At 39.4% G+C, this 20,641-nt stretch overlaps 2 protein-coding genes across 6 annotated transcripts in view, besides 1 other annotated feature; one reads left to right on the forward strand and one right to left on the reverse strand.

The window, feature by feature from the left end:
- ITIH2 (inter-alpha-trypsin inhibitor heavy chain 2) overlaps positions 1-1,298 on the forward strand; it is a 46,205-nt gene extending 44,907 nt beyond the window's left edge. Inside the window, exon 21 of the mRNA NM_002216.3 lies at positions 965-1,298. Coding sequence (NP_002207.2) covers positions 965-1,112 — 148 coding nt within the window. The 3' untranslated portion in view covers positions 1,113-1,298. The remainder of the gene's footprint in view (positions 1-964) is intronic.
- A 1,441-nt stretch (positions 1,299-2,739) lies between these two features.
- The window catches only part of KIN (Kin17 DNA and RNA binding protein), a 37,032-nt gene continuing 19,130 nt past the window's right edge, over positions 2,740-20,641 (reverse strand). For 2 of the 5 annotated variants that reach the window (XM_006717435.5, XM_006717434.5), the window contains 4 exons: positions 17,831-17,881; positions 15,501-15,569; positions 14,235-14,334; positions 7,927-11,768 (listed from right to left, as the gene is read on the reverse strand). In XM_006717435.5, the coding sequence (XP_006717498.1) occupies positions 11,602-11,768; positions 14,235-14,334; positions 15,501-15,569; positions 17,831-17,881 (387 nt within the window). In that variant the 3' untranslated portion in view covers positions 7,927-11,601. The other 3 variants (NR_045609.2, XR_930485.3, NM_012311.4) reach the window with 3 other exon arrangements.
- Positions 18,897-19,098: a silencer, noted in NCBI's record as "fragment chr10:7809082-7809283 (GRCh37/hg19 assembly coordinates)". NCBI's record gives its function as "represses an EF-1alpha promoter that drives an FKBP-Casp9 reporter gene in an ReSE screen in K562 erythroleukemia cells {active_cell/tissue: K562}" and the evidence as "EXISTENCE:reporter gene assay evidence [ECO:0000049][PMID:32094911]".

Raw genomic sequence — 20,641 nt, forward strand, 5'->3', positions numbered from 1 at the left:
CATATATAAATAAATATATGTATACATATATATATATATTTACTATAATGACAAAAAGTAAATGCTGGGCCTCGATTTGGTCCACTGCAAGCACCTCATGGTTCATAACTGAAACTGAGCTGTCCCGTGGGCTGGGCACAGTGATACTTTTAAGTCTCGTTCACGCAGTGTGAACGAGATCCTTAACAAATTGTTGGCTACTTTGCCCTTCAAGTGGAGGACATGAATCTGCTCAGAAACAGCAGGTATCACTCTTAAACACAGAGAAAGTGCAGTTAAGAGGTGCCGCCAATGCATTCTTTTTTTTTTTTTTTTTTTTTTTTTTTTTTTTTTTTTAGTGACAGAGTCTTGCTCTGTCGCCCAGGCTGGAGTGCAGTGACGTATCTTGGGCTCACTGCAACCTCCACCTCCTGGGTTCAAGCAATTCTCTTGCCTCAGCCTCCCAAGTAGCTGGGACTACAGGCGTACACCACCATGCCCAGGTAATTTTTCTTTTAATTTTTAGTAGAGACAGGGTTTCACCATGTTGGCCAGGCTGGTCTTGAACTCCTGGCCTCAAGTGGTCCGCCCACCTCAGCCTCCCAAAGCGCTGAGATTACAGGCGTGAGCCACCATGCCTGGCTGCTGACTCATTCTTTAAGTGACCTGTGAGGTCAGCCTCAACACTGTGGAGTCTTGTTCCTGCCTTCTTTCCATTGGCTACTGTTTCCCTCGCTGGAAAAGCCCATATAGGTCAACTCTAAGGGTTCTTTGAGTTCTCCAAGGACGCTTCGCTGATTCTCTGTGCTTCCAACACCAAGCCCCAGACTTGGTGTTTCTTTTTCACATGACTTGGGGAGCAGCGATAGGTGGGGGGCGGCAGATGTGGTGACAGAAGGAACACGAAGAACAGCAAGGAAAAGAGGGAGTCTTGTGTCTAGAGGTGCTCAGTCTCCCCCTAACCACATGCCTTGCTTCCTTGCAGGGGCTTACAGAAAGACTACAGAACGGATCTAGTGTTTGGAACGGACGTTACCTGCTGGTTTGTGCACAACAGTGGAAAAGGATTCATTGACGGGCATTACAAGGATTACTTCGTGCCTCAGCTCTACAGCTTTCTCAAACGGCCTTAAAGGTTTATAGTTTGGGAAATTATATATATTAATATACATCTTTCCCCTGTCACTTTTGCAGATATTCTTCGGTTTGAATAATTAAAATGAACCAGATATCAGGGTGGTTAATTAAAATGAACCAGATATCAGGGTGGTTTATAAAGCCTGTAAACACACCTAAGAAAATAAACATTTTACAAATGAGCTTTTAGGATTTTGTTGCATTTTTAGATGCCGAAGTGTGTGGATCAAGGTGGTGCCGAGACAAGCCAGCGTCTGGAAGAGCCTTAAATTTGGTGTTTACTGTGATCATTTATTAATATCTTTTCTTTCTTTTTTTTGAGACAGGGTCTCGCTCTGTTGCCCAGGTTGGAGTGCAGTGGCGTGATCATGGCTCACTTCAGCCTCAAGCTGGGCACAAGCAATCCACCCACTTCAACCTCCCTAGCAGCTGGGACTACAGTCGCATGTCACTATGCCTGGCTAATTTTTGTTTTTTGCAGAGATGAGGTCTCACTATGGTGCCCAGGCTGGTCTCAAACTCCTGGGCTCAAGTGATTCTCCCGCCTCAGCCGTCCAAAGTGCTGGGATTACAGGTGTGAGCCACCATGCCCAGCTGATCATTTCACTGCTGTTGAGTCTCAGGTCCTCAACCTTGCAGATCGCGTCCATTTTTACACTGCTAGTTACATGGGAAGTACAATTATGAGAGGGTTATATGGTGAGCATAGAACAAGAAATGGGGGTTACTTGATCTTAGGTGCTTCGTAGAGATTTATACTAAAGCCCTGTTACCCTCTGTAGAGATTTATACTAAAGCAAGGATAGCCTTGCTATGGTGCCTGTGATAGCCCAGTATTTTTAGCCAAGATTCTCTTCATAGTGTTGGTCCCTGGGTCCCTTTTGAGTTTATGAGGCCTGGATTAGCCATAGTTCTCCAGGAAAACAGAACCCATAGGAGATTTACAATAAGGATTGGCTCATGTGATTATGGAGGCTTGTAAATCCAAAATCTGCAGAGTAGGCTGATGGTACAGGAGAACTAGGGAGGAGCCAGTGTTCCAGCTCAAAAGCCATCAGGCAGGAAGAGCTGATGCTGCAGATGAAGTTCGAAGGCCGTACACTAGAGAATCCCCCGACTTTGGGAAGTCAGCATTTTTGTTCTATTCAGGCCTTTGACTATTAGACGAGGCCCACCCACACAAGGGAGGGTGATTTGCTTTACTTTTTTTTTTTTCTTGAGATGGGGTCTCCCTTTGTTGCCCAGGCTGGAGCACAGTGGCACAATCTCGGCTCACTGCAACCTCCACCTCCCGGGTTCAAGCGATCCTCCTGCCTCAGCCTCCCAAGTAGCTGGGATTACAGGCGTGAGCCACCATGCCCAGCCCTACTTGGAGTTTTTGTTGCTCCCAAATTCTGCACATATTTAAAATCGCTCAGGATGTTACCTCAGATGGCTAATTATACACATTGTTAATGTTGCTAAATGAATTCTGAATCATAGTTCCAAATTCTCTGGAAGCCCTCTGTGTCTGTGAATCAAGTTTCACACAAATTTAATATACCTTGAACACAGCATCTTTTTTAGTACTCCTGGTAGAACTGTTATTTCATTTGCATTTAAACCATTTCTGAGTAATACCACTTACATGCTAAATCTTAGACTTTATTTCAAAATAAAGTAGTAAATTATGTTCTAACAAAAGACCAATGACATTTATAAGGGAGAATAAAATAAGCAACAAATTTAAAGCGAAACTAGGTTACTTTATGCTGTCTGCATTTGTATAGTGGATTTTGGTGCTAAGATGCAAGTCTGAACCAGTGTAATTCTGTGCTTTGCTGTGTTTACAACTTTCCTTAAAAAATCAATTCCTAAAATGAACGTATTTTCAAAAGTCAAATTGGTGAACTTGCACTTTAAAAAAGCTTTTTAAAGGCACATTTTTATGAATCTTCCTTTCCATAATCTGGTAAAAATCATTTTTCATTGTAGAGGCAAAACTCTTTTTTTGGACATATCCAACCCATATTTGAAAAAGCAAGTGAGCTCCTCTAAACCTAATTGCAAAATCTTAAGGAAATCTGATTGTTTCTAGAAGCTAAAGATTACTGGCTGGGTGTGGTGCCTCATGCCTATAATCCCAGCACTCTCGGAGGCCAAGGCAGGAGCATCACTGGAGGCCAGGAGTTCAAGACCAGCCTAAGCAACACAGTGAGACTCCCATCTCTTTATAGAAATAAATAAAAATAAAGATAAACTTAGTGCTGAAGAGGTAAATAGCACTACCTCTTAGTTTTCTTCTTCTATAAGAAGTGCTCACCTATGATACCCTTTTGAAAAACCTACTGCATCTTTTCCATTTCCTATTTCAAAAATAGAAAAATATTAAATATTAGAATGCTAATATTCAACATAAACTTCAAAAGTGAGATTTTAGCATTAACTCTGTTATTTGGTTAAAATCTTGAATTTAAAACTTCTACCTGCAGATATTAAGTTTAGCTTTTAGTATTTTATGTGTGCACAGTGGTCTTAAAAGTAACGATGTACTAAAAATACAAAAAATTAGCCGGGCGCGGTGGCGGGCGCCTGTAGTCCCAGCTACTCGGGAGGCTGAGGCAGGAGAATGGCGTGAACCCGGGAAGCGGAGCTTGCAGTGAGCCGAGATTGCGCCACTGCAGTCCGCAGTCCGGCCTGGGCGACAGAGCGAGACTCCGTCTCAAAAAAAAAAAAAAAAAAAAAAAAAAAAAAAAAAAAAAGTAACGATGAAAATCTTGGGGTGTTAAAAAAGAATAGCTTAAAACAAAATGAGAAGACAGGCCACTGACTGAGAGAAAATACTTGCAAAAGACACATTCGATAAAGAACACAACTGAAATATACAAACAACTCTTAAAATTCAACAATAAGAAAATGAGTAACCCAATTAAATAATGGGCAAAAAACCTGAAAGACATCTCACCAGAGAAGATATACAGGTGGCAAATAAGCCCATGAAAAGATGCTCCACATCATACTTCATCAAAGAAATGCAAATTAAAGCAATGACAAGATCCCACTGTACAGCTATTAAGATGGCCAAAATCCAGAACACTGACAACATCAAATGCTGACGGAGATGCAGAGCAGCAGGAACTCTCATTCACTGCTCGTTTGAATACAAAATGGTACAGTCACTCTGGAAGACAGGTTGGTAGTTTCTCAGAAGACTCCTGGCATATGATCCAGCAATTGTGCTCTTTGGTCGTTACGTAAATAAGTTGAAAACGTCTATCCACAAAAAACCTGCGCACAGATGTTTGTAGCAGCTTTACTCATAATTTCCAAACCTTGTAAGCAACCAAGATATCCTTCAGTAGGTGAGTGCATAAACTGTGGTGCATTCAGACAATAGAATATGCAGTGCTAAAATGAAGTGCGCTATCGAGCCACAAAAACCTAACCAAAACAACATGGAGGAACCTTACATGCATATGTTCTACCAGGTGAAAGAAGCCAATCTGAAAAAGCTACACCCTGTGTGACTCCAACTATATGACCTTCGATGGAGACAAAACTAGGGAGACAGTAAAAAGATCAGCGGTCAGCAGGGATTTGGGGGGAGACAGGGAACAGACAGAACACAGGAAACTTCTAGGGCAGTGAAACTGTTCTGTGTGATACTACAGTGGCAGATGCATGTCATTATACATTTGTCAAAACCCACAGAGACTGCTCTAAAAAGTAAAGTCTATGTTTGAAATAAAGAAAAATAGCTTATGATACTTCAAAAATCAAAGTCTAATATGAGACCTGTTGTTAGTTATCTGCAGTCATTTTGCTTAGCATAAACTCTATCAAGTTCTACAGACTCAGAGGGAAAAAACTACTGTGAAGTCTATAATCGTATTTTTATGCTTCAGATATTTTTTATTGAATTTAACCTCAAGTATGCTGCCTCATTTCATTCTGAAATAATTTCAGAAAGACGTTGGAGAATTAAATGTGGGAGGCAGACATGAAACATTTTTTCTCTGAAGAAAACCACCAAGTTGATTCCAAACGTACATACTTGGGGGAGGCATATGTAATTTGTCTGGTTTTACTCATCACTATTTGTTATCAGGGAGAACCATTCTCCTTTTTGAAATTCTTCAGACCAGATTCTTAGTAGTCCAGGCTCAACTTCTTGGCTTCATTTCTGGACATGACCACTCACTGCCATTTATTCAATACCTACTATGTGCTGGACTTCATGTCTGATGATTTATATGTATTTTCTGTAGGTCTCCCATCAACCCTGCTGAAAAACATTTTGACAATTTATACATTAAAAACATTGCAATTCAAGAACATTAACATTCTAATATTACAAAGCCAATGAACAGAACTGCCAGAATTTGATCTAAAGACTGCCCACACCCAAAACCCAGTTGCTTTCCATAATGTGCTGTCAGGTTACTTTGGAAAAACCTTAATTCATCCCTGAGGAACATTTTCTGTAAAGCTTCTGCCATCATCCTATTAGTATTTCTTTACTGCCTCTTACATTTCTGCTAACAGCATACGTTCTCCCATCTTCTGAGAATAGAAGCAATCAGCCCTCCCTGACTCTCAGTTAAAGAGAGAGATCCCAGGGTTTGGCACCATACCTGTGTCTGACGTCAGCTTATACCCATCCTCATGTTTGAAGTGATCATCCTGGTATGGTCTGTTTTTTGTTTGAACTCTTGTAGAAGATCAACTCAGGCAAGGCGTGGTAGCTCACACCTGTAATCACAACATTTTAGAAGGCCGAGGCAGGAGGATTGCTTGAGCTCAAGAGTTTGAGACCAGCCTGGGCAACATAGCAAGACCTCATCTCTACTAAAAATCAAAAAAATTAGCCAGGCATGGTAGTGCATGCCTGTAGTCCCAGCTACTCGGGAGGCTGAGGTGGGAGAATCAATGACCTAAGCCCAGGAGGACGAGGCTGCAGTGAGCCATGATTGTGCCACTGCACTCCAGGCTGGATGACAGAGCAAGACCCTATCTCAAAAAACAGAACAAAAAAAAAGAGGCGTAGTGGCTCATGCCTGTAATCCCAGCACTTTGGGAGGCTGAGGCGGGCAGATCATAAGGTCAAGAGATCGAGACCATCCTGGCCAACATGGTGAAACCTCATCTCTTCTAAAATTACAAAAATTAGCTGGGCGTGGTGGCGCATGCCTGTAGTCCCAGCTACTCAGGAGGCTGAGGCAGGAGAATGGCTTGAACCCGGGAGGTGGAGGTTGCAGTGAGCCGAGATTGCACTACTGCAATCAGCCTGGGTGACAGAGTGAGACTCTGTGTCAGAAAAAAAAAAAAAAAGAAAAAGAAAAGATAGATCATCTCTCTCTTCCCGGTGCTGCTGAAGGGTAAGATGTAAACCTAGAGTGCTCAAGAATGTAAATGTAGAGAGCCAGCACAGGAGCCAGAGACAGAGCGGAAGCCCAGGGAAGGCTGTTCACACCCGGTCCCGCTGCCCTGGAAGCTAGCGTCTGCTCCTTTCAGTCATGTGCACTACAAATATCCCTTCGTTTTTCCTTTGGCACAGGCAAATGTGGGTTTCCTGTCTTTTGCATTCCCTAATAATACACTGCCCTACTTATTTCAAACTGTATGGTTAGGCAGGGTGCTGTGGCTCACACCTGCAATCCTAGCACTTTGGGAGGCTGAGGCAGGAGGATCACTTGAGCCCAGGAGTTTGACAGCAGCCTGGGCAACACAGTGAGACCATGTCTCTAAAAGTAAAAAAATTAAAAACAAATAAAACTATAGTTCAACATTGCTGGTAGGACTGTAAAATGGTATAGCTGCTCTGGAAGAGTTTGGCAGAAGCGAAAGCTTCTGTTCACATAAAATCCTGTAAATGGGTGATCATGGCAGCATTATTCACAATAGCCAAAAAGTAGAAACAATCTAAATGTTTATCAGCTGATGAATGGACAAACAAAATACGGTACATCCATACAGTGGAATATTAAGCAGCCATAAAAACAAATGAAGCACGCCTACATGCTACTGCATGGATAAACCTTGAAAACATGATGCTAAGTGTAAGAAGCCAGTCATAAAAGATCACATATTATATGATTCCATTTATAAGAAATGTCCAGAAAGGGCAAATCCATAGAGACAGAAAGTACATTAGTGGCTGTCTAGGGCTAGGGCAGAGGGGAAAAATAGCGATTGACTATTAAAGGGTTTCATTTTGGGGTATGAAAGTGTTTTAAAATCAGACAGTGGTGATGGCTGCACAATTCTGCAAAAATACTAAAAACCACTGAATTGTATGTATATTTTAAATGAGTGAACTGTATGGTATATGAATTATTACCACAATAAAGCTGCTTCTATATTTATAGTTTGACATTTAAAATTTAGTCACACTTAGAGTTCAACTTTACTACTCTACTACTGAAAATATAGAGTGTATGAAGGATTTCCTCCAATTACATGATTCTAAATTGTCATAGATAAAACACTTTATAATAACATTCTTTAATGAAGATATAAACTCATCAAGTAAATTACAAAGGAAACAAAAATAACAAGGACAAAATTACATAGTTTGATACCTCATGAGACATAATTAAATTCTTCTCAAAGTTTAGCTGAACAACTATACAGTAATATTTTCAAAAACCTGTTTGTTTTATACAAAAGAATATACCCTAACACAGTAGAGTCTCATAATGCCTTGGCGAACACCAATTTGATGCTTTAAGATTTTAATGTATTGTTAACAAATTTTCAAACTCAGGCAAGTTTAGAAATGTCTTCATATTGAATTCCTTCAACTCTGCGTCCTTTTAAAGGGCCCTACAAATTAAAATAATTTAAAATAAGGTTAAAAACACATATTCCTAAAAGACAAAAAAATGACACCATACTTATGGATACAAATTTGCCTTTTCCGCATCCCTAAAATACCATTAAGATTGTTAACATTTGTATACATCTATGAATTTTAAGAATAATCTATGGCATTCTCATTAAGAACTACCATATTTTCTTCTGTGACATCTGACATACGTTATCAATAGACATTGTGGCAGAGACCTGCAAGCTGTTCAGTATCTCCTCTGCTTCCTGGATAAATAGCCAGTTTCCTGGCTCCCTTGTGGTTAGCTGTGGCCATGCATGGAGCTCCAGCCCATGAAAGCAAACAGAAGTGACGGTCCAGACGTGCTATAACTGACACACAATCTGCCAAGCTCCTTTTGCCTGCCCAGTGCACACAGACATGGCAACTGGAGATGCCACTTGAGGGCAGTAGAGGCACTAGCTGGAAGGACCCTGGGTTCACAAATCGCCACTTAGAAAGAGTTCCCTGATCAAAAATACCCATTTGGGGTTTTTAGAGTGAAACGTTAACTTCTACCATGTTTGTGCCATTGTCCATTTGGGGTTTTCTTTTTTTTATAGGAAATATCATTTTGTAAGCATTACGATACTCAAACATGTTTGTCTAGGTTGGCTGTGATAGTTACACTGGTCCAGATTATAAAAAGAGTCCAACTTTAACTTTATTTTCTTCTTTCATATCGAACAAAAAGGGAAAGAGGAAAACTTAATTAATGAAAGATATTTTCTATCACAAAAGCGGATATAACCTGGGAACACAGAGGCTAAGAATATGGGCTGTGAACCTACACTCCCCAAGTTCAAATCTCACTTTCAACAATTGATTTAACCTCTCTGTCCTTCAGTTTCCTCTCTGTGCCTTATTATCTCCCAGTGGAAATAATGGTAATGTCTGTATGATTGGGTTGTTGGGAAATATAAATGAGTTATTTCATATAAAGTGACTAGACCTGGAACTTAATATGAGTGAGAGCTCAATAATTTTCAACTCTAATTATTATTTAATCTTTTGTTTAAAATTTGAGAGTTGGGTCGGGCGCAGTGCTCACATCTGTAATCCCAGCACTTTGGGAGGCCGAGGCAGGTGGATCACCTGAGGTCAGGAGTTTGAGACCAGCCTGACCAACATAGTGAAACCCTATCTCTACTAAAAATATAAAAATTAGCTGGGCATGGTGGCACACACCTGTAATCCCAGCTACTTGGGAGGCTGGAGCAGAAGAATTTCTTGAACCCGGAGGCAGAGGTTGCAGTGAGCTGAGATCGCGCCATTGCACTCCAGCCTGGGCGACAGAGTGAGACTCTGTCTTGAAAATAAATAATAAAATAAAATAAAATTAAATTAAATAAAATTAAAATTAAATTTGACAGTTAATCCTCTCCCTTGCAAAATATAACATGATGATGATGACAATAATGATGATGACAATGATGATGACTCTAACCCTAGAACTGAGATTTTAACATTTTTTTACTGCTTCCCTTCACAACAAATAATTATCATATTTAAAGGAATTAAGTTCCCAGATAAAGTATAACCTAGGTTAGATTTTTCATTATCATGTTTAATGGTCTATGGTCAATTACATTTTTCTGATAAGTACCATAAATCTGGAGAATAAGAAGGGAGCCAGACATTTGGGCTTATAGGGCAAATAGCTAAAAAGCTGAAGCTATTTAGGAACAATTTATTGGATGTTAAAAATCTGCTTGATATATGTATAAATTTCAAATATTATCAACGACATGAAAACTTAAGGTGCCAGAAATGATAAAAATAACCACTTGCAAAGCTCAAGTGATGACACAAGCATATACAGAGATTTTTTTTTTTTTTTTAATGAGGACAGGCTGAAGAAAGGAAGAAAAAAAAATTAGGAGACAGATTCCCTTTTTTTTTTTTTTTGAGACGGAGTCTCGCTGTCACCCAGGCCGGAGTAAGTGGCGCAATCTTGGCTCACTGCAATCTCTGCCTCCCAGGTTCAAGCGATTCTCCTGCCTCAGTCTCCCGAGCTGGGACTTCAGGCATTTGCCACCGCGCCCAGCTAATTTTTGTATTTTTAGTGGAGATGGGGTTTCTCCATGTTGGCCGGGCTGGTCTCGAACTCCTGACCTCAGGTGATTCGTCCGCCTCAGCCTCCCAAAGTGCTGGAATTACAGGCATGAGCCACCATGCCAAGCTGGTAGATTCCCTCTTCTAAAAGAAGTACATGTTGCTTTGCAATCAAACAGAAAGGCTTTTCATGTGGATTTGCTGCTAAGTTCTACCTCAGTACAGAAGATGAAACTGGGTCTACAGTGCAGAAGGTGAGAAATTAGTTTTTGATGAATGGACACAACCTGCGAACCAAAGGTATCGAGATGGAACTCAACACAGCCTCAACAGTAATCAGTTGTTTTGTGTTTCCCTGAGATGAAAACATGAAACAGGATCTGCATTTGATAGCACTATGAAATTAATAAGGTAAGTTTCATGCATGGTCCATGCAAAAAAAAAAAAAAAAGAAATTAATAAGGGAAGGATAAGCAAGTTGTCAAGGAAATACTGGATTTTCTACTGCCTTATGCTGATAGAGTCAGAGAAAATCTTATAGAGTTTTTTGTTAAAACTCAATCTGCTAATTTAGTCAGACTGACATGTTCCTCAATGCCAAGTAGGAGTCCTTTTTCCCTTTCTTCCCCTTAGTTTACGTTAGTAACAGTTAGCAAGTAACAGCTTCTAGGTTAGCATTGTCAGGATCAGAAAGAAAAAAAAAAAGGAGAAAAGCTTGATTTACTGAAATGAGAATTCTCTCAAATAAGGACCTAAATGGTTTTTCCAGAAAACCTTCCTAGACACATATTCTCTAACAGGTCCATGGGCTTAGGGGGCCTATAAACTCCCCAAGAGAACAAATAAAATTTGGCAATTATGTGCAATGTTTTGAAGAGTCTAAACTTTCATTAAACTCTCTAAGTGAGCTATTACTCCCAAGCTCCCCCAGAAATACTAAAACTGACTGTACTGGAGATAAAAAATTCTTTTGTTTAGCATCAAAGATATGCAGTGCAGTAGTTCAGAGTTCTAAAAGGAAACTTTCTTTCTGAAGATATCTCAGACCTCACTCACAGACCTGTGAGTGAAATATCAGTTCTAAGTCAATAACCAACTTTATTTATAAGTCAGAGTTCTTTAAATTACTGTATTGATCTCTGCTACCTTAAATCCTTTATGAAAAAAGGGGAGACATTTTAAAAAGTGGTTGACCTCTGTGGTTCCCTCCCTCTTGACAATGACTTTACTTCCCCCACTAACTTTACTATGCCAAATTGAGTTTTATATTCGATATGAGGGGAAAAAAGGATATAAAACTGTACCTATTACACACACTTTCATAAAACACCAAGATTGGAAAGGAACAGACCAAAATATTAATGGGGTTTATTGTTGGGCTGGGGGACTATGATTAATTTTTATAATTATTTATATTAAATTATGTTTTTTGGGGTTTTATGCATGAGTACACATTTCTTTTATAATCAGAAAATAAAATACTTTAGCAATGGCAGAGTCACTGGAGAAAATAAGCTTACAGATTTCCAAATAGGATAGAAGGCTAACAAAAAACTCAAATTCTAAAATAAAGAACAATCCAATTAAAAAAAACTATGGCACATTTTTAAAGCATTTTGAAATTTCTGTCTTTGTGTAAACAAACTTACAGTTTCAATGACGATAGTAGCTGAAAAAGTCTTCTCATTGATGGATTCTAGGGTACCTTCATTTCCTCTGTAGCCTCCATTTAAAACTAGAATTCTTTTTCCTATGATGGAAAAGAATATAAAAATTAATGTGAAGAAATATCTCCACTTTTCTTCTAACTTGTTACAGCAAAATGTACTACACTGAATAAACATAATAAAAAACAAAACCCTTTTTCTTAGAAGTTCTCAATCATTTAAGAAGTGTGTAGTATTTTAGTGCGGTGTATGGATACTTTCACTACTCGAACATTATAAGACTTCTCATTTTTCCCCCAATTATTTGTTAAAGGAATATGTATGTTTTACTTTTAGACTGCAAAGAATATAAGGTACTTGGAGAAAATGTTCAGAGTCCAGAAGTAATCAGAGACAATTTAGCTTACTTTGTCTCTTTGCAAAATTCATAAGATGGTTTGGCAGTTTTACAAAAATTTAAACTTATACCTAACATGTGACTGAGCCATTCTATGTATTTACCCAAGAAAAAAGAAACCAGATATCCACACAAAGCTTTGTACGTATATGTTCACAGCAGTTTTATTTTTAACAGCCAAAAGCTGTAAATAAGCCAAATGTCTATCAACAGATAACTGGATAAACAAACTGGTACAGTAGTCCCCCCTTATCCCAGGTTTTGGTTACTCTCAGTCAGCGTGGTCCAAAAATAGGTGTGTAAAGTACAATAAAATATTTTGAGAGAAAGAGACCACATTCACATAACTTTTATCATACTATATTATTATAATTGCTCTATTTTATTATTAGTTATTATTCTCAATCTTTTACTGTGCCTAATTCATAAGTTAAACTTTATTATAGATATGTATGTAGGAAAAAACATAGTATATATAGTGTTTGGTACTATCCATGGTTTCAGGCATTCACTGGTGGTCTTGGAAGGTATAGGTTAAGGGGGAATACTGCATATCCATACAATGACATACAGCAAGAAAAAAGAATGAACTACAGATACGTTCCACCACATAGGTGAATCCAAAATAATTACACTGAGTGAAAGTAGCCAGACCAGAAAACAGGACACATTTATATTTATAGAAACTTAATTTATATAAAATTCTAGAAAAATATGAACTGAACTATGACAGAAAGCATGTCAGCAGATGTCGAGGAAGACAGAGGATGCAGGAGCAGAAGGTAGGAGGGAGGGATTAGAGAGGGAAATGAGAGGATCTATTCATCAGCTAGATTGTAGTGATGGTTTTATGGAAGTAGGCACATGTTGAAACTTACCAAATTGTATACTTTACATATGTGTGATTTATTGTACATCAATTTTACCACAATAAAGCTAACATAAATTTTTCTAATCTGTAAAAAGAATTTTTACTTTAGGGGGAAAAAGAATAAAGAATATGATAATAAGAAGTTCCAGAGACTGATGTTATCACTACATTGGCAATGACACCCCCAGGAAGATTTTGAGTCAGAGGTAAACAACCTGGTCAAAGTAGTGTTTGTACTCAGATACGGATAAGTTTCCAAAAGGCAAAGACACCTAAGGGGAAAAAAAGCAAAATAACACAGACTTTCACTTGACTATCGCAGAGAGCTAAACAAATACATCACAGATTGAACATTCCTAATCTGAAAATTTGAAAAGCTCCAAAATGTAAAATCTTTTGAGTGCTGACATCATGCCACAAGTGGGAAATTCCACACCTGACCTCCTGTGACAGGCCACTGTCAAGATGCAATCAAAATTATTTAAAATATTGTATAAAATTACCTTCAGGCTATGTGTGTAAGGTGTATATAAAACATAAATGAGGATGAGTATGGTGGCTCAGGCCTGTAATTCCAGCCCTTTGGGAGGCTGAAGTGGGTGGATCACTTGAGGTCAAGAGTCTGAGACCAGCCTGGCCAACACAGTGAAGCCCCGTCTTTACTAAAAATACAAAAATTAGCCAGATGTGGTGATGCATGCCTGTAATCCCAGCTACTTGGGAGGCTAAGGCAGGAGAATTGCTTGACCTGGGAGATGGAGGTTGCAGTAAGTCAAGATCGTGCCGCCACACTCCAGCCTGGGTGACAGAGTGAAACTGTGTCTCAAAAATAAATAAATAAATAAAAATAAAATAAAACATAAATCAATTTTGTGTTAAGACATGGGTTCCAACCCTAAGATATCCAATTATGTATATGCAAATTCCAAAATCCAAAATTGGAAACTCTTCTGGTCCAGGCATTTCAGATGAGAGATTCTCAACCTATAACCATAAGCCTAATATAACAAATGCTATCCATATATGTCTACGTTTTGCTTCAGGAAAAAAAAAAAAAAGTATTCCAGGAAAGGAAAATCCATTGATGCCACAAAACAGCTTCATCAGAGAGCCAGTAAACTACGATGCCCTTGAATCCAAACAGAGATGAGTTACGCTGGCAGTTAATGCCGCCAAGACAGAAAAATAACAACCAACAAGTACTGTCAAAATACAGTGGTTTGAAAATGGAACCGCTCATTTTGATGGCATATGTATTAAATGGTCTGCAAACAGATTTACCTGGTGCTGGAATTACTGTCTCTAAATGAGTCTGGTCAAGTTTCAGCTTGTCTCCAGAATCAATCATCTTCACAACAGCTGTATATTTGTCAATTACTTCCTGTCATGTAAAATGAACACTTTTATAATAGAAGAAATATGTGCACACTCATTTAAAAGGTCAAAAGCAAATGAAATGAAGACAAATAAAATATCAATCAAAAGAAAGAGTAACTCCTTCTATAAATGACACTATTTTCTAGATTCCATACATGATTTCCCAGTCTATGGTTCTCAATAAAGAACTCAATTCAAAGCTTAGTAAAGGTTTTCATCTGGAAACAATAACAGATTGGTGGTCCTGGAATAAGACTTTAAGAAATCTAACAAGAGGGGTAGTTTTGCCTAGCTTAATGTACAGTGGAAGAAGGGCAATAGGCATGCACAAGGCTGGGTGCTAGAATAAAACTAAATTTAGGAAAGGCAAAAAGGGAGAAAAGGCCTAGAATATTGATACAAACTTTAAAATCTCAGAGTAGGCCGGGTGCAGTGGCTCACATCTGTAATCCCAGTACTTTGGGAGGCTGAGGCAGGTAGATCACCTGAGGTCAGGAGTTTGAGACCAGCCCAGCCAACTTGGTGAAACCCCGTTTCTACTAAAAATATAAAAGTTAGCCAGGTGCGGTGGTGGCCACCTGTAATCCCAGCTACTCGGGAGGCTGAGGCAGGACAATCACTTGAACCTGGGAGGCGATGGTTGCAATGAGCTGAGATCGCACCACTGCACTCCAGCCTGGGCAACAGAGCCAGACTCTGTCTCAGAAATAAAAATAAAAATAAATAAAATCCCAGAGTAGCCAAAAGACAGTTTCTCAAGCAAAACACAAGAAGTCCTCATGAGACCTCTGACAGTATAATTGTTAGGCTGGCATAAAAGTAATTGCAGTTTTTGCCACTACTTTTAATATATGGCCTATCATTAAAAAATAAAGTACATTTTACTGACAAGCAAGGCATGCATGCTGAGGTTTTGAAGAGGTGCTGATGGGCCTTCATACATACTATCTGTCCTAGTAAGAAAACAGATCAACGCTGAGTAGAAACTATGGATGAAAAAGAAATATTTCTCCAACAATCATGAATTCAGCTTCCATTTCATGGAATAATCAAGAATTTTAAACATAGTACTTCTGCTACTAGGACTTGATTTTCAAGAAATACCAAAATAGCTTCACTCAGTGACCCAAGCTTTTTTCACAAATTCCATTCATAATTGCACGTCCTTACCTTAACAATAGCCTTTTTCTTATGATATTTCTCTCCCAGTTTCTTGGTTATAATTTTCACAATAATTTCCTAGAAAATAATAACAAAAAAAATGAAAGGAAAGACAGAAGTTATCGTTTGTCATTTACTTCTTCCTTTTAAACTATGTTCACCCAAAACCACAGGAAAATGTAACTGCCCTGCCAAATAAGAAATGCTGGAGTTCTCTGCCTTCCCAACAATGACAAACATTTCCTTAGCAATCTTTTATTCCTTCTTCCCCTTTCTGTTCAACGTGGTTAGCAAGAGGAAAAAAATATATACATATATATAAAAAATGTCTGATTTCTACATTGCAGATTTCTGGAAATCTAGGACTGTTATCGGTAAAATTCAACTCTAGTACTTCACGTCTTTCGTAGATGGTTTCTTTCCATTGCAGGAAGTGAAAAGCGCTGAGTTGTTCACTGCTGATAAAAACTCAGATTGCAAGAGACTCACTGGAAATTGCAAGGCACTGAGCCTGCAAGCTTATGCAGGACAGTTCTCACTATGCCCCTTTCTCATTAAGTTGCTTTGAATTTTCATACAGTTGGGATTCCTCCAGATTAGATATAGCTAAAGGTATTGTTCTTCTGACCATCTAATTCTCAAATGGGAGGGAAATCTGGGCTTACTTCTTATGAATGAATTCAGAGTTTGCTTCTTTACCATTTTTTCCTGATTTGGATTAGTTGTCTAAAAGCTAATAATGAAAATTAAATTGCCTAACAATGCAATATTACTGCAGTGATTCTATATTTGCTACTTCAAGTGAATATATCAAAGAGATGGTCAAGTATTTCATAAAGCCATGCTTAAAATCGTACTAACAAAACTTTAGGAAGGACTTTGGGGAGAGGGTATTTAATAGTAGAAAGATAGGTTTACGGAAAAATGTGAACGGTCTTATTCTGAAGTCTCTCTTTTAAGACTTTCTAAATGAAGCCAATTAATGCCAAAACAACTTCTCCAATTTAGTCATACTATTTTCTGGGCTAATTTCTCAAACGCTCTCATGGGTTCACACTCTAGTAATTGGAAGATAATTCATTACATCACTGTACTTATTGGCCCTTATCCACAGTAGATCTGTTAAAAATATTTCCTTTCTGAGTTTAAAAACTAGGCACAGTGGGCCGGGCGCGGTGGCTCACGCCTGTAATCCCAGCACTTTGGGAGGCTGAGGCAGGTGGATCACCTGAGGTCTGGAGTTCGAGACCAGCCTGACCAACATGGAGAAACCCCGTCTCTACTAAAAATACAAAATTAACCGGATGTGGTGGCCCATGCCTGTAATCTCAGCTACTAGGGAGGCTGAGGCAGGAAAATCGCTTGAACTCAGGAGGCAGAGATTACGGTGAGCTGAGATCGTGCCATTGCACTCCAGCCTGGGCAATGAGAGCAAAACTCCATCTCAAAAAAAAAAAAAAAAAAAAATTCGGCACAGTGGCTCGGGCCAGTAATCCTAACACCCTGGGAAGTCGAGGCAGGAGGATCACTTGAGGCTACTATGTTGACCAGCCTGGGCAAAAGAGTAAAACCTTGTCTCTACAAAAAATACAAAAATTGGCAGGGCATTAGTGGTGCATGCTTGTAGTCCTAGCTACTCTGGAAGCTGAGGTGGGAGGATCGCTTGAGGCCAGGAGTTTCAGACCAGCCTGGTCAATAGAGCAAGACCCTGTCTCTATTTAAAAATAAAAAAAAGAATAAGACACTCTGAAAGTTTTATGAAAATGTCATGTCTCAGTAAGTCTAAAATAGAGCATCAATAAATAATCATTTTAAAATATTGTTAAATGTTTAAAAACTATTTTTAAATTATTTTAAAACAATAAGCAATAATAAATAAGCAATAAAATATAAAACTCCCTTGAGTTTGTGAAATTAAAGCCTGCTTTTCTCCACAATGTACCTATTAATAAATGGACATTCTAGTTCCAATAAGTTGTAAACTGAAAACCAACACTTGGGCATTTACAGTTCTACTTTTTGAACTCATTTCTGAAAACATAACCTCTTGTCTTATAGCAAAAATTGAAAATTCCTGGCTCAAATTTAAGATGCCCATAAACAAGTTTAGCACTAAACTTAAAGAACATTATTAGTCTATAAGCATGAAGTAACTCTCCAATAGAGGTGCAACCAATAATTAATGATCTAATAGGAAGAAAAGTCATTATAAGTTATAACTAACTCTATCTATATAGATTATACGTGTTTGAAAAGTTTAGTTACTTATACCAAATGCTAGTTAAATCATTCACTTAAACATACATTTAGAACTTAAGAAACTCCAACTGAATACTTACAGGCTGTAGCCAGTAGTCTGTTCGGGCAGTTCTTTTCTTTTCCTCTTCAATCTGTAGAACACATAATGTCTTAAATTATCTCCCTAAAATCCTCATTGGATTTCAAAATACCATTCTATTTAGCAAAATAACACCATAAAACTGTGAAGTCCTCTACTTCACAGAAGACCAATGACATAATTTGCGAGCTCTGATAAATACAAATAAACATTACTTGTCATTAGTTTTTGATTTAAAAAAAACTTCAGTTTTTAAAAGTATATAATAAAGCAAGTCAACTGACCTAGGAAGCAAACAGACACAACTCCTATTCAGCTGAAAGACCAGCCAGTACCTGCCCTCACCCACTTTCTCCCATGTGACTGTCAGGAGCTGGAAAAGAGGCCACGTTTTCATGCAGTAAAATCATAACACATGGATCAATGTAGCACAGTGTGGTTAAGTATACAGCCTGGTAGCAAACAGGGGGCTCCCTGTTTGAAAATGACAGTAAAGCTCATGAATGAAAGGGAAGAAAAATACCACCAAGAGATAAATGAGAGTGACCAAAGAAAAGAGAGCTGTGGGGCTGTATGGCGAAAATATCGAATCTTTTTCTTTCTCAACTGCTTACAGTTAACCCTAAGTACCAATTTTCAATGGGATCAAACAATGTAATAATCCCTTGGTTGATTCGAAACCTAATTTTAGGCTGGGCGCGGTGGCTTATGCCTGTAATCCCAGCACTTTGGGAGGCTGAGGTGGGCGGATCACGAGGTCAGGAGTTTGAGACTAGCCTGGCGAACACAGTGAAACCGTGTCTCTACTAAAAGTACAAAAATTAGCCAGGCGTGGTGGTGCATGCCTGTAGTCCCAGCTACTTGGGAGGCTGAGACGTGAGAATTGCTTGAACCCTGTGAGGCGGAGGTTGCAGTGAGCCGAGGTCACATTGCTGCACTCCAGCCTGGGCCACAGAGTGACACTCCATCTCAAAAAAAAAAAAAAAACCTCATTTTAAATCCTTCACCTTTTCAACAAACAGTGTTCTAAAATTAGTATGCATTATATTCAAAAAAGGTCGATTTGGCTTTCCATTTTTCTTTGAATAAAATTAAATTTTAAAAATCCCTGTCACAGCATGTAAGACCTCTATGGTGTTGGCCCTCCTGGCTCTCTGACCTCATACGCCACCAGGTGCTTGCTGCACTCCAGTCCCGTGGGCCTTTCCTTCAGATGCTTGATCGTTCCTGTCTAGGTACCGTTCACAGGATCTCTCCCCAGGCGCTACCCTCATACCTCCTTGGCACTCAGCATTTTGTGATCATTCACTGATTCACTGCTGAACAGCTCTGACGTTAGAATGAAAGCTCCGTGACTAACAAGGACTGTTTTTCTTTCTACTATACAGACCCGGGGGCTTGCACAATGTGCAGCATGTAACAGTGACTCAGTTTCATAGTAAGTTTCATCTAAACATTATACTTGAAGCTTTTTAGATCATCCTGCATGGTGTGAGGACTAGGAACAGAGAAGACTAACAGCCAGCCGGGTGCGGTGGCTCACACCTTGTAATCCCAGGACTTTGGGAGGCCGAAGCGGGTGGATCACCTGAGGCCAGGAGTTCAAGATCAGCCTGGCCAGCATAGTGAAATCCCGCCTCTACTAAAAATATAAAAAATTAGCCAGGCATGGTGGCGGGTGCCTGTAATCCCAGCTACTCAGGAGGCTGAGGCAGGAGAATCACTTGAACCTGGGAGGTAGATGGTGCAGGGAGCTGGGATTGCACCACTGCACTCCAGCCTGAGTGACAGAACACAGAGCAGGACTCCGTCTCAAAAAAAAAAAAAAAAAAAGACTGGACGGCATTTTCTATCCCTTCACAATGAAGACGAAAATAAATGAGGAGACAGAGGAAATAATATTAAAGAAAAAAAAGTTAGCTTCTTGTATTCATTTACTCTTTCTCCTCTATCCTGCCTCTTCTCTCCCACCTATTTTCTTAATTCATTGATAAGGTAGGCTATGTGTTAGAATGGAGAAGGGGATATTTAGGAGTAAATTAAGAACCTCCTGCAGCATTACTCTAGAGTCTTGGGTAGATTTAGAGCCCAAGTATGGCCCTAAATATGGATAATCATGTACTTCCAATGATTTTTCACATAGACTTAGCCATCAGGCTAAATCAAATTAAAACCATGTCACACTAGGCCAGGTGCAGTGGCTCACACCTGTAATTCCAGCAATTTGGGAGGTCAAGGTAGGCAGATCATTTGAGATCAGGAGTTTGAGACCAGCCTAGCCAACATGGTGAAACCCTGTCTCTACTAAAAATACAAAAACTAGCTGGGTATGGTGGCACACATTTGCAATCCCAGCTACTCGGGGAGGCTGAGGCAGGAGAATCTCTTGAACCTGGGGAGCGGAGACTGCAGTGAGCCGAGATTGTGCCACTGCACTCTGTCTGGCCTGGGCAACAGAGAGAGACTGTCTCAACAACAAAAACAGCAACCAAAAAAAAAACATGTCACAGGTTTCTCGTGCTCGCTAGGAGGTGCTAAGCGGAAGTCAAAGTCAACAGGAGAGTAGCAGTTGAAGGAGGGAGGCCAACCATGAAGGACTCCAATTTCTAACTGAATTCTACTGACCGTAACAAGCGCAGGGAGTTTCAAAGACAGCACCTGAGGCATTAAAAGAAACCTATTTAGGTGGGGCATGGTGGCTCATGCCTGTAATCCCAGCATTTGGGAGTCCAAGGTGGGTGGATGACTTGAGGTCAGGAGTTTGAGATCAGCCTGGCAAACATGGTGAAACCCCATCTCTACTAAAAATACA

Source organism: Homo sapiens, chromosome 10 (genome assembly GCF_000001405.40).
Source record: "Homo sapiens chromosome 10, GRCh38.p14 Primary Assembly".
Classification (NCBI taxonomy): Eukaryota; Metazoa; Chordata; class Mammalia; order Primates; family Hominidae; genus Homo; species Homo sapiens.